The sequence below is a fragment of the Homo sapiens genome, chromosome 16 (genome assembly GCF_000001405.40).
Source record: "Homo sapiens chromosome 16, GRCh38.p14 Primary Assembly".
NCBI lineage: Eukaryota > Metazoa > Chordata > Mammalia > Primates > Hominidae > Homo > Homo sapiens.
Window position 1 is genome coordinate 23,665,963 of NC_000016.10, and position 12,926 is coordinate 23,678,888.

At 45.8% G+C, this 12,926-nt stretch overlaps 1 protein-coding gene across 5 annotated transcripts in view, besides 1 other annotated feature; it reads left to right on the forward strand.

Moving 5' to 3' along the window:
* The window catches only part of DCTN5 (dynactin subunit 5), a 36,007-nt gene extending 24,497 nt beyond the window's left edge, over nt 1-11,510 (forward strand). For 2 of the 5 annotated variants that reach the window (NR_037573.2, NM_032486.4), the window contains one exon: nt 1,085-11,510. Coding sequence is in view for 2 of the 5 variants with exons in the window: in NM_032486.4 (NP_115875.1) it covers nt 1,085-1,182 (98 nt within the window). In the remaining 3 variants the exon portion in view is untranslated. Of the gene's footprint in view, nt 1-1,054 lie in introns of all 5 variants that reach the window. The other 3 variants (XR_001752007.3, XR_001752006.3, NM_001199743.2) reach the window with 3 other exon arrangements.
* Nucleotides 4,452-4,681: an enhancer, noted in NCBI's record as "active region_10586". NCBI's record gives its function as "activates an Ori minimal core promoter by ATAC-STARR-seq in GM12878 lymphoblastoid cells {active_cell/tissue: GM12878}" and the evidence as "EXISTENCE:reporter gene assay evidence [ECO:0000049][PMID:35858748]".
* Nucleotides 11,511-12,926: the final 1,416 nt, after the last annotated feature.

Consider the following 12,926-nt stretch of genomic DNA (forward strand, 5'->3'; position numbering starts at 1 on the left):
GGAAACTAAGCCCAAGCTGTGAGATTGCACGGGTTAATGCTGTCTTCATAATAGAGTGATTTGAGGGGTGATACTCATGTCGGGATGGAAATAAAGCCTTGGATCCACACATGGCAGAGAGATCCTCAAATACTCTTAAAGGATTCCCTCTCAAGGAAAAGTCGATGTAAAACAAATCTGCTGCCAACACAGGGAATGTACAAGAAAGCATTTCTTGCCTGGCCTGGACTCTGGGTAGAAAAAGTCTGTCTAGAGAATTTTAGTACTGGGCTTACCCTCACATTGGTCATGGGTTTAATTTGTACATTCCACATGGCCCAGGAATTCCCAGACTGAAAAGTTAGCATAAACCATGGTCTAAGACCAGCAATACCCTGGGGATACCTGAGAGGGGCAAATATTAATACATTATCTCTGGACCTTGGCTGATAGAATGCTCACAAGTAAAGCCCATCAGGAGCCCGGAGTTCCAAATTATAAAGCTTGAGGAAACAAAAGTGATACGTACTTCTCTCAGAAAACTTGGAAAACACTGAAAAGCAGAAGGAAGGAGAAAACCTCACATTCCCTTAGCCCTACCCCAAGACAGTATCTTCTTCTCCATGTTGTTTTACACAGCTGAAATCATGTAGCATATACAGAGGCACGTCATAAATTCACAGATGGAAAATAATATGAACAGAGAGATTTGACAGTATATGATACCTACCACTGAGTGGTTTAATTGTTTTTCCAATTAAAAAATAAATCTCATCTCTCAGATCATTGAATCTGAGTTTCTAAGATGAACAAAATCATCACTCAGATTCTTCGGGGAGGCATTTGGCCATTCTACCGTGTCATGCATCTCTGCTTTTGCAGAGGAGGAAGGAGAGACTTTTGTTTAGTAATTTCTCCATATTGGGGTCCTGCTGTGAAAAAGTTTAGCTGTTCTTAGCAAGCACTGGACCAGAACAGCCTCAGCGATTATTTAAGTGATTGTCAGACATGCATCTGATTGAGGTGAGAAGGATATTGCCAGAGAAATATCTTAACTTCTTGTAACTTCTTCAAGCTCCTTAGAGCTGGGTCTTTCTTTCCCCAGGACTCTTCTCAGGGGAGCTCCCGGAGTGCACTCAGGAGCTGATGATTGACGTCACCAAGAGCTACTACCAGAAGTTTTTGCCCCTGACGCAAGTCTAGCATCTCTGCCTCATGTCTTGAATCTGCTTGAGCTCTAAGATGAACCTGGGGACAAAGTGAGCCAGTCAGCACCTACAAAGAGCTTTTGTGTCTTTGACATCTACCACCCTCCTCCTTTTAAAAAATTTCTTTAGAATTTCTCAATCTTCAAGGCTCTAAGTGCTTAAGAATTCACTAACAGACAGACCATCTGGAGGAGCTGTCTTCAAATGCTGTGCTTACACCTTATCTATGAACAGTCACTTTGTACCATTATCTGTGGAACACAGAATCATCTGTTCCCAACACTCCAGCCCCTTGGTCCTGTGGATGGCTGGATCCCGCCTGAAACGGACCTGCAGAGCAGCAGCACCCTTCCGGTGTGGAGGCTATGTAGCTGGTGCGCTGCTCACGGCCATTCACTGCCCATGCTGAGCGCCTCTCACACAGGTAATGCCCAGCTTTTCTGCTGCTAACACATTTGGCCAGTTGTTGCAGTTGCTCATCATCTTGGGAAAGGTGTTTGTGACTTTTCAGAGCCCAGATTCCTGTTGTCTATTAAAACTTGAAGGGAGGGGTGAATAGTGTTTCTCTCTTCTTCCCAAAATGACCTTAGCTGTCCTAGGATAGTTAGTAAAAGACTTTTTAGCATTTTGACCTAGGGCCTTTGGCTTTCACTAAAAGTGGGGACCTCAGTATCCCAGATTGTAATTTTGCCAAGTGTTAGATTTGAGTCTCTCATGTGGATGCATTAGTCAGGTGGTTACTCCTTGCTTCAAGGTACTTACCTTATTTCATTGAAGACACCGCATTTGTGAACTCTTGCTTCCTGGCCTAGAACCATTCAGCCTACCCTGTATTTGCCATAAACTCCACAATTCACACCAAAATGTCTGTACTTAGAGCTAATTCGCATATATACAGGAAGGGCTCTTAGAATCAGTTTGTGGGCACAGAGCCTCAGGAGTAAATGAAGTTACTAGGGCTGTTCTTACCATCTCCTTCTGGCCAAATAGCACAACATTTCCTCGTTCTGCTCTGACCTCTTAGCTTAGAAGGAAGATTCAGAAGTGAGGGGCTAAGAAGGTTGTCCTTGCCTAATGCTCTGATCTGTAAGTGAATAGGGCAGAACAGTTCAGCCTTGAGGTTAGAATTTAGCAGGAGCTATCCTGACTTAATATCCAGTTGTGGGGTTTGCAAAACAAAACAGCTGTATGTAATCATTGCCACTAGTTCCATCTAGAACTCCTTTCTAGTTTGTTATTTTTAAAATGTTTATACATAAAACCACCAAAATACATAGCTTCGACAAGATGGAAGTTTATTTCTCTCTCCCATAACAGTGCAGTGATAGTCAGCTGGTCCAGGCCAGGCAAGGGGCTGGTCCATGATGTCATCAGGCACCCAGGTTCCTACTGTCTTGCCATGTGGCCACAGTTAGCAACAAAGGAGGCTGTAAATTTAGTTTCTACTTGGGCAGCCAAAACTCTGAGGAAGGAGATTCTGCTAGTAAAAAGGAGTGGGGGAAGAATGGCCATTGGGAGACAACAAGCAGACTCAACCAGGCCTCTTTGTTGGCTTCCTTTCCTCCTGCTGCACATGAGCCTTCGCCGTGCATTTGGAGCCATGACAGCTGATAGCTCCAGACCTGCATCCTCCTAGCTTGGGGGCTCTGAATGAAAGGTTTCTTCCCTTCCAGTTCGAATTTGGAAACTCCCAAAGTTCTCAATGGTTTGTTGTGAGTTCCATGTCCTCTTGGATCAGTCACTGTGGCCATGCATGTTTGGCCACATGATTAATCCAGTCTGGGTCATGACCTTTTCTTCATCCAAAACAAGGTGATGGGAAGACAAAAACAATAGCTACTACAAACAATAGGAGTTTATAATTATGTGCTGATGTATTCGAAGATGTGTTGACAGTCGTGAGTGTGTATCCTAGGAAAGGCGAGCTGGACTCTGTCTCCATGGTGGCTCTCACCCCAGGGACCTAGGAACAGCCTGTCACCACACAATTACTTTTATAACCCTGGAGATGAAAATCTCCTTGTCCTCAAAATACTTCCAGAAGAACAACCAGATGGGAAGGACCTTGGTTGGGACTCTTTCCAGTTCACTTGGGGCAGAGGGAATTTAATGGCTCACGTAGCTGAAAAGGATGGGCTAGATTGGGCTTCAGGCTGCATCCCAGGACTCCAAACAGGGATCTGTCTCTTTGGCTCTCAGCTCTGCTTTCATTTGAGTTGGCTTTATTCTTGGGCTTCACAGTGTGGCCCCACAGCACCAGTTATTGATAAAAAGAGCTCCCCTTTGCTGACAGAACTGCTGGATTTGGTTCTCATTGGTCCAGACGAGGAAGGTATCCAGCCTCAAGTCATCATTGTGGCCAGGAAGATGGAATACACCAAATGGACAGGCCTGGCATGTACCCACAGAGACTGAGAGTTGGTGCTGGTGGTTGTGGTGGCAGATGATATTACCTGAAGAAGGGACGAATGGGTGCTGGGCAGGACAAAGCATCAGCTGTCCAGTTCAGGCCTCTCCTCTTTCCCTGGTGTCTTCATTTTCCTCCGTCTCCCTGCTGTCCCTTACCCTCTGCCCAATCTCTCATTACTCCTGGTCTTGGGAGTTGCCTTCTGAGGATACTCCACTGGGGGTACCTGAGCCTGGATTAGAGGGCAGGGGGAGGATATTGCCTAGCCAAAGTGGGTGTTCAATAAAGAACCATTTGGAGATGGTCTTCTGTCTGGAACTGCTTCCTTTTTGTTTTATTATTTTTCCCCAGATGAGCTGACTGGGCCATGGAACTGCATCCTTATGGTTCCCATAGCACCTTACCGAGGCGCCCTTATCAATAGAGTTTTAGTTATGTACCTGTGTTCTTGTCTGAACCCCTACTAACTGTGAGCTCCTGAGGAGTCAGGCCTGAGTCTGTGGGTCATCTAGCACATCCTTAATAGAATGATTGCCTGGATGTGACCACCCTCACCCCCAACCCTCACACACCCTGCCAGCATGCCTCAGACCTTACCCCAGCTCAAGATAAGTCTCAGATTGCAGGATACCTGCTGCAGGGAACAAAGGTGAATGATTGTCTTGTGAGCCTCCTGTTGACTGATTCTGTTTTACATGGCTGCACAGAGCCCTTGTGGTTATTTGGGGTTGGGGTGGTGGCTTCTGTATTAGTCACTTCTGCATGAACCATTTCACTCAGGATCTGAGGCCACAGTTCCTTTCTTAGTCACTGATACATCTGGCAGACTTGAAATTAATCAGACAAACATTGTTCATAGTTAACATATCCTTGGAAGTTTCTCAGCTATAAGGAAGAGGTCTTGGTGGCTAGGGAGGCCTTTCTCTGTATCCTGTTCTATCCAGTGAGAGCCTAGAGGGTGCTGCCCAGCCATATTCTGGCTAGCCTCAGCGGTTCTCCTGAAAAAAAATTGGCATCTGACAACCTGGATGGTGACTATAGGTAGTCAAATCCAGCTGGCTGGTCTCCTGGGGGTTAGCTTCCATGGAGCTGCAAGTCCCCTGAAATGATACTGGCAGTGTTGGGACAGCGTGTCCGAAGGCCTGGTTTTTTCAGAACTGGTCTCAGCAAAATGTCTCGCCAACTTCTACAGTTCCCATAAGTACATGATAACTGAAACACTTCTAGAGCCCCCCAGCAATGGGCTTGTGCTTTTAGTAGAATATGTGCTTGCTTCCATTTAGGGGTAAGAAGGTGGGCCCCTCACCATATGCTGCACAGAGAAGAGAGACACCATCACTCATTTATTCATTTAACAAGTGCTTTCCAAGCCACTACTAGGTGCCAAGCACTTCCTAGGTCCTGGGGATACAGTGGAGACTAAGATGGAGCCAGTTCTTTCTCATAGGGATCTCACAGCTTAGTGAGTGAGAAAGCCAAAGAGTCAAAATACAGAGAGGGTCTGAGGGGCCCATTTTGAGAGCCATCATAGTGGTGAGGAGTGTGAGTGCTAGAGTCAGGCTGATCAAATCCCAGCCTGCCATTGGCTAGCCTTGTGACTTTGAGCAAGTTATCTTACTTCGTGGAACCTCAGGTTTCTCATCCATAAAATGGGGAAGTTGGATAGGGTATTATGATGATTGAAATGCATTTATACATGTAAAGCATAAGTACTGGCTCAGGGTGAGCACTCAATAAACGGCAGTTTATTAGGCACTTTTATTAGGAAGTGATACACCTTGAGCAAAACCCCTTAGAGTATAAGGCATAGCATTCTTACATATTTTTAAAATTTAAAATAAAATTTAAAACATCTTGCCCTTTATAATCAGTCCGCCACAAACAAGAGATGGAGAAATCACCCTTCCTTGTTTTGTATCTATGGGGTGCAAACATTTAATCCTCCCAACTGTCAAAAAAGTGAGAGTTTCACAGCCTGTTTTACAGCAGAGGAAACTGATATTCAGAGAGGTTAAGTAAATTTGCCCAATGCCACACATCTAATAAATGGCTGAGCTGGAATCAAGGCCAGCTCTTACTTGGCTGCAAAATCCATGTTTTATGCAGCTCCTCCACTATCTTGGCCTCCAAGGCAGCTGGCTTTGAACACTACCCTTGCAGCCCAGTCAGCCAATCCCTTGCTCTCCTGAAGCTTTTGCTGGTGGGCCAGCCCCACCTGCTTTCCTTGTGCACTCTGACTTGGACCCTGAAGTGAGAAGAGTTGGCACAGGACATCTTACTTCCCTGAAAACAGTACCTGGACTTTTCTGTATCTTCACATCCATTGGGCATTGGGCAAATGGGTCATGCAGATGAAAACCATCCAAGATAAGAGACATGGGAGTGAAATTCACACCCACTCTGGCTTTCATACCATGGGTCTGAACATTAGCCCATGGTGTTTCTTGGCCATACTGACCTGTGCCATTTCAGCTGCATTCATCTCAGTTGGTGTTGTCTGCTGGCTGCTCTTTCTGATTTCCCACAGGAGCAGTAAGAACCTGAGGAAGAGTAGGGTCAGAGGAGTCTGGGAGAATGAGGAAATATGAGAGCCCCAGGAACTGAAAAGGCCTGTGAGAGACTCTGAGCTTCCTGGGAACAGGTATAGGTTCTTTTTATTTCAATAATAACAGAAACAACTGTCAAAACCATGTGCCTGTACTATTTGGAGTGCTGTCCTTGCAGAATCTCATTATAAGAACCTTAGGAAATAGGCACATCATCTCCTGGATAGAATCCTAGGAAATGGGCACTATAATGGGCACTTTATCCCATTTTATAAACATGGAAATTGAGGCACAGAGAGATTAAGTACTTTCCCAAGGTCATACAGCTAGTGATGGAGGAGCTAGCATTTGAACCCGGAGTTTTTAGTCTATTGAGTTTAACCGACAGATCATACTGTGTTTTGGTAGGGAGGGAGGGAGGAAGCAAGCAAGTGAACAAATGAGTCTGGGATTTAGGACTTGCCAGACAAACAAGGCCCAAGAGGCAAGTGTGCAGGTGGGTGTAGTTGGGAGTCAGCAGAGTTGGGTTGGAATTCAAGCTTTGCCACCTGCTGGCTATAAACCTTGGTTGGGTAAGTAACCCAAGGTAAATGAGATCATCTCTGTAAAACTCTTAGCCTTGTGCCTGGCACATAGTAAATGCTTAATAAGGGTTCACTGTTAGTATTACTGTTACTGATAACATACAAATAGATTGTATTAATGGACCATAATTGCAACTGTATAAAACAAATTCCATGTTTGGCCAGGCGCAGTGGCTCAAGCCTGTAATCCCATCACTTCGGGAGGCCGAGGTGGGCAGATCACGAGGTCAGGAGATCAAGACCATCCTGGCTAACACAGTGAAACCCCATCTCTACTAAAAATACAAAAAAATTAGCCAGGCATGGTGGCGGGTGCCTGTATTCCCAGCTACTTGGGAGGCTGAGGCAGGAGAATGGCGCGAACCCAGGGGGCGGAGCTTGCAGTGAGCTGTAATTGTGCCACTGCACTCCAGCCTGGGCGACAGAGCGAGACTCCGTCTCAAAAAAAAAAAAAAAAACCACAACAACAACAACAAAAATTCCATGTTGACAAGGATGGGAATATGAGAACATGGAAACAGCTATGAAAAGACATAAGAGAATTAGGAGGATTTTCTTTAATATATCATTTTTTAAAAAAAAACTTGCTTGTATTTGTTTATTTTTTAAATAGAGACAGGGTTTTACCATGTTGCCCAGACTAGTCTTGAACTCCTGGGCTCAAGCGATCTTGGCCTCCCTAAGTGCTGGGATTACAGTCATGAGCCACTGTGCCCCGCCATTTTTTAATAAACCTTTCTAATGGAACAAGTAAAACACATGCAGTGGATGCTCAGCAGGCCTTGAGTGTGTGAATGAAAAATATTTGAACTTGTTTTTACTGGTTGATTTCATTGCTTAAAAAACATACCTTAGCTGGACGCAGTGGCGTGCGCCTGTAGTCCCAGCTACTCATCTCTTAAAAAAAAAGTTTTATGCTTGTTAATTTCATAAATGCTAGAGGGATCACCCTAATCAAATAAAGCTACTCAAAAATAAAATATGAAAGGTGTTAGTGGGATACAGCTTTCTAGTTTTTTGCCACTAGTGGATAGGTTGGAATTTAAATTCTTCGGATATTGGAACCAGAACAGGCTGTAACTGATTATTTTTGCTGTGATTCGTGCTTACTGGAGCCTCGGGAAAGAGGGAGACAACATGTAAAGAGAAGCAATCTGTTTGGAAAATGAAAATACAGTTAAATTGCTAATGAACCCTTGTCAAAATCAAATGTCTCCCCTTAGAGGCTGATGATTGTCTAGTCTAATATGCATTTTTTTTGAGTGGGTCAATTGGACTCTAAGACCAACAAGATAAAAAGGCAGCCTTGCATGTCACTTGGACCACAGCTGTCTGGCCATGCAGCATGCCTTCACTGCTGCTGAAGAAAAGCAGCTGCTTGTTGAGAATCTCAAATTCTCAGATCCTAATTGCCTGGCCCTGACTCTAAGCTGAAACCTGCTACTGTCTGCCTTGAGCTGTTTTAGCCTCAACACGAGCTATGCTGAACTGAAAGCAGGCACAGGCTCAATGACCAGGACTCAGACGTTGGGGCCGTTGGAGATTAAGGACCCCCTCCGTGGAGCGCTAAACTATGAAAACGTCCTGGAACCTGGCTGAAAAGGGCTTATTCTCTAATGGGACCATCTAAGATCAAGCTGCTGATAGGCTCTTTGTCTCTAATACAGAGGCTAATTGCATTCCTAACTTCTAATATTTGCCAAACGCTCCAAGCTGGGGAAGGGCACATCGCAAGGACTATGACCTCTCCTCCTGCTTTTGACAGACCAGACTCAAACCTTCTCTGGGGCTTCTCTCACTGCTGTTGACTTGTTGCATTCAGCTTTTGGGATTAGTTGCAGCTTGCAACAGTGGACTGACAGCCTGACTCTACTTCCCTCACTTTTCTCCCAGCACACACAGCTTAGTAAGGTAGGTGGATTATTAAAACGTAGCTGTCCCCAGAAAGGTATTAGGCTTTTCTAGTCTGCTCATTGAATAATCAGGACAAAAGGGGTAGAAGATTATGTAAACACATTTTGAAATTTTTAAAAATTCAGGGTTTCATCCTTTATTAGTTTGCTAAGGATACCATAACAAAGTACCACAAACTGAGTGACTTACACAATAGAAACTTATTTTCCTGCAGTTCTGGAGGCTGAAAGTCCAGGACAAGGTGTCGACAGCTTTAGATTCTTCTGAGGCCTCTCTGCTTGGCTTGCAGATGGCTGCCTTCTTACTGTGTCCTTGTATGGTCCCTCTGTCTGGGTGTCTGTGTCCTAATCTTCTCTTTTAATAAGGATACCACTCAGGTTGGATTAGGGCCCATCCTAACAATCCCATTTTAACTTAGTTACCTCTTCAGGGCCTATCTTCAAATATACTCACATTTTGAGGTACAGGTAGATGGTTAGGGCTTCAGCATGAATTTTTGTGGGGACATAATTCAACCCTCCACACATAATTACCAATTTCTGAATGTCTTTCTGGTTAAGTTGCATAAAAACGTTTATCTACTTGAACTCTAGGATGATAGTTAAAAAAAAAAATGTTGGCCAGGCGCAGTGATGGATGCATATGATCCCAGCACTTTGGGAGGCCGAGGTGGGCAGATTGCTTGAGTTCAGGAGTTCAAGACCAGCCTGGCAACATGGTGAAATCCTGTGTCTACAAAAAATGCAAAAATTAGCTGGACATGATGGCATGTGCCTTTGGTTCCAGCTACTTAGGAGGCTGAGGTAGGAGGATGGCTTGAGCCCAGGAGGCGGAGGTTGCAGTGAGCCAAAATCGTGCCACCGCACTCTAGCCTGGGCAACAGAGCCAGACCATATCTCAAAAAAAAAAAAAAAAAAGTTTATCTACAAAAATGCTTTTGTGCCTCTTACATACAACCCTTCCAGAGGAAAGGCCTAGCTGAGAGTAAGAGATGGTTGAAAAAATGCAATGTTATGATTGCTGAACAGGGCACGACTGTTTTTGTAATATTGGAGAAAATAATTAAAGCCTGGCACCTGGGGAGGCTTGATCCCTGGAAGCCTCCTCTTGCTGAAGGAAAATTCCCAGTGCTGCCTTTCCATGTGCTGTGAGTGCTTTGAGTTCAGACTGACAACAGAGTGGGTCTAGCTTCTATGCTTTCCATGAAGATCTCCCACAAATGTCATCCATGCTCATGAGATGGATCAACTTGTATCCTGAACAAGCAAAACTGTTTGGGACTCACTGCCTTCAGGCAGTCCCTTGGAAGCCAAGGACTCTGGGAACTTTTCAGATGGGACTGGAAACACTTGGGCAGGAGTTCCCCTGGTAGGAGGTCTGTTCACCTGTACAGCCTAATGGATGTCCTGCTTGAGGTGCCCTAATATTGCAAATTCTTTGTTTACAGGGGTACCACCTGTGCCCCTGGGACTGTGCTTCTGTACATGACCACAACTCTCATGATGTCCCCTCAGCCCTGGAAAGCATTTGGGTTAGCTTCCGCTTACTGGTCAGAGTTATACTGTGCCTGAATTGATGCCTCAGGTCAGGTTGAAAAAAAAAAAAAAGGTTCAGACAGCAATTAAGGGCTGGGCACGGTGGCTCATGCCTGTAATCCCGGCACTTTGGGAGGCTGAGGTGGGCAGATCACCTGAGGTCAGGAGTTTGAGACCAGCCTGACCGACATGGTGAAAAGTAAAAATACAAAAATAAAAAAATTAGCTGGGTGTGGTGGTGTGCACCTGTAGTCCCTACAAAAATAAAAAAATTAGCTGGGTGTGGTGGTGTGCACCTGTAGTCCCAGCTACTCGGGAGGCTGAGGCAGGAGAATCGCTTGAACCCAGGAGGTGGAGGCTGCAGTGAGCCAAGATCACGCCACTGCACTCCAGCCTGGGTGACAGAGCAAGACTCCATCTCAACAACAACAACAAAAAGGAATTAAGGAGGAAGCCACCTGGCTTCCTAAGATAGACTTTATGGTTAATGGGATTTATTTTAGCTGGTTAAGTCCAGGACCCCTACCAGGAAGAACTGAGGTCCATATTTGAGGTTGGTCTCACCCTTTTGCATGTGGTCCTACTAATAATAATTTTGCTGTAAAGAAGCCTCAATAAGGAGATGGACTGTGTGAAAAGAGATGAGAAAGCAGGCCTGTTTGCAAGGCTGGCCCTTGGCTGGCATCTGAAAGCTTGGATTTCAGGAGGGTTCTCATTACTCCCTAAATGATAAGAGTGGCTCACTGTGCCTAAACTGTTCGTACAAACAATGTGGGTTATGCCCAACATCTGCTTTCCTTCTGGGAGTCAGATTTTCATATGTGTTAGGCAGAGGATGAGGTGAGCAGCTCCCAATGAGAACCCTGAACACTGAGTCTGTAATGAGCTTCCCTTGTATACAACATTGCACATGGGTTGTCACAACTGATTGCTGGAGGAATTGTGTCCTATGTGACTCTGCTGGGAGAGGACTGTGGGAGGCTTACACCTGGTTTCCCTGGACTTTGTCCATGCGCTTTTTTCCTTTGCTGATTTTGCTTCCTAGCCTTTCGCTGTAGTAAAACATAGCCATGAGTATGACTACAGGCTGAGTCTGTGAATCTCCTAGTACATCATCAGACTAGGAGGTGGTGGTGTTGGCACCCCCCAGCACAGGGCACAAGGGAGACTTGCAGGGTGTTTGTCATGTTCCCTTTCTCAATCTGGGTGTGGTTTACAGATTTGTTCAGTTTGTGAAAATTCACTGAGCTCTATGAACAATTATAATATGTACATTTTTTTCTGTAAGTGTATTAAATTTCAATAAAAAGAATTCACACTATAGGGGTACAAAATAACTTAATTTTTCAAAGTCTTCCTTTTATTCAGCCAACATTTTAGTAAGTACCCTTTTTTTTTTACCAAGCACTGCTCTGGGAGCTTGGGACATGGGGTAGAAAGGACGGCATCATTGTCCTCATTGTCCTTCAGCTTAGCTGCAAGGCAGGTGAAGGATGCTTATAGTATGGTTGATTTTTGCTGGGCTCTATGAAGGATCAGAGGGTGCTAAGGAGGCACAGAGAAAGAGCTTTTAACGTGGGTATTTTACTGTTCCAGGGTTGCCACTCAAGTACCTACAGAACAAACGGGTGTAGCTGTAAACTGTGGCAAACTGAAAGCATGTAGGCACAGAGTAAGTAGCTAGAGCTGATTTTTTTCAGGAAAGGCCACAAATCCCAACTTTTATGAGCTCCTCTTTTAAATGCTGTAAATGTTTTACAATGGCGGGGCGCGGTGGCTCACGCCTGTAATCCCAGCATTTGGGAGGCCGAGGGGCAGATCACTTGAGGTCAGGAGTTCAAGACCAGCCTGGCCAACATGGTGAAACCTCTTCTCTACTAAAATTACAAAAATTAGCCGGGCATGGTGGTGCATGCTTGTAATTCCAGCTGCTAGGGAGGCCGAGGCGGGAGGATTGCTTGAACCCGGGAAGCAGAGGTTGCAGTGAGCTGAGATCGTGCCACTGCACTCCAGCCTGGGCGACAGAGCAAGATTCCGTCACACACACAAAAAAAAGGCGTGGGGGGAGGCCAAACAAAACCCCGCAAGACACATTTGGCTATGACCTGCCAGTTTGCTAGGCATTCTTCCAACCTTCCCTCCCTCTGACCAAGAAACTGAGTGTCCACTATTTTAGGCCCTGGGAAATTCAGTAGCGAGGAGGCCAGACAGCTTCGTTGCATCATGGGGGGCTCTGGTACTGTGCTTCTCCAACTTCAGGATGTGTAGGAATCACCTGAGCAGTCTTGTTGAGAGGCGGACACTGACTCGGGAGGTCTGGGGTAGGGCCTGAACGTTTGCCTTTGCGGTTCTAACAAGCTCTCAGGTGATGGCGATGCTACTGTTCCCTGGCCCCGAGGTAGAGGAAGATTTAAGTAAAAGCTTCCTGGAGGAGGCGCAAGTGAACCGCAGGAGCTTTCCCGGACGCCCGAGAAAGGGAGAAACCCCGAAGGAATTCCTCCTCTCTCGGGGCTGGGTCTCCGCATCCACGCCGGGTTTGGTTTCCCAGGCTATCCCACGTGTTCGGGCGTCCGTGTCAATCAGGTTTTCCCCGGCTGGGTCCGGGTTTAAAGGCTGCTGCTGCGCAGGGCGCTCCCATGGTGCCGCGCGGCGGGCGGGTTTGGATTTTAAATCCCCGCGGCCAATCAGTGGCGCGCAGGCTTTTGTAACGTTCCCAGCGCCGCGTTTGAATTCGGGGAGGAGCGGAGCGGTGC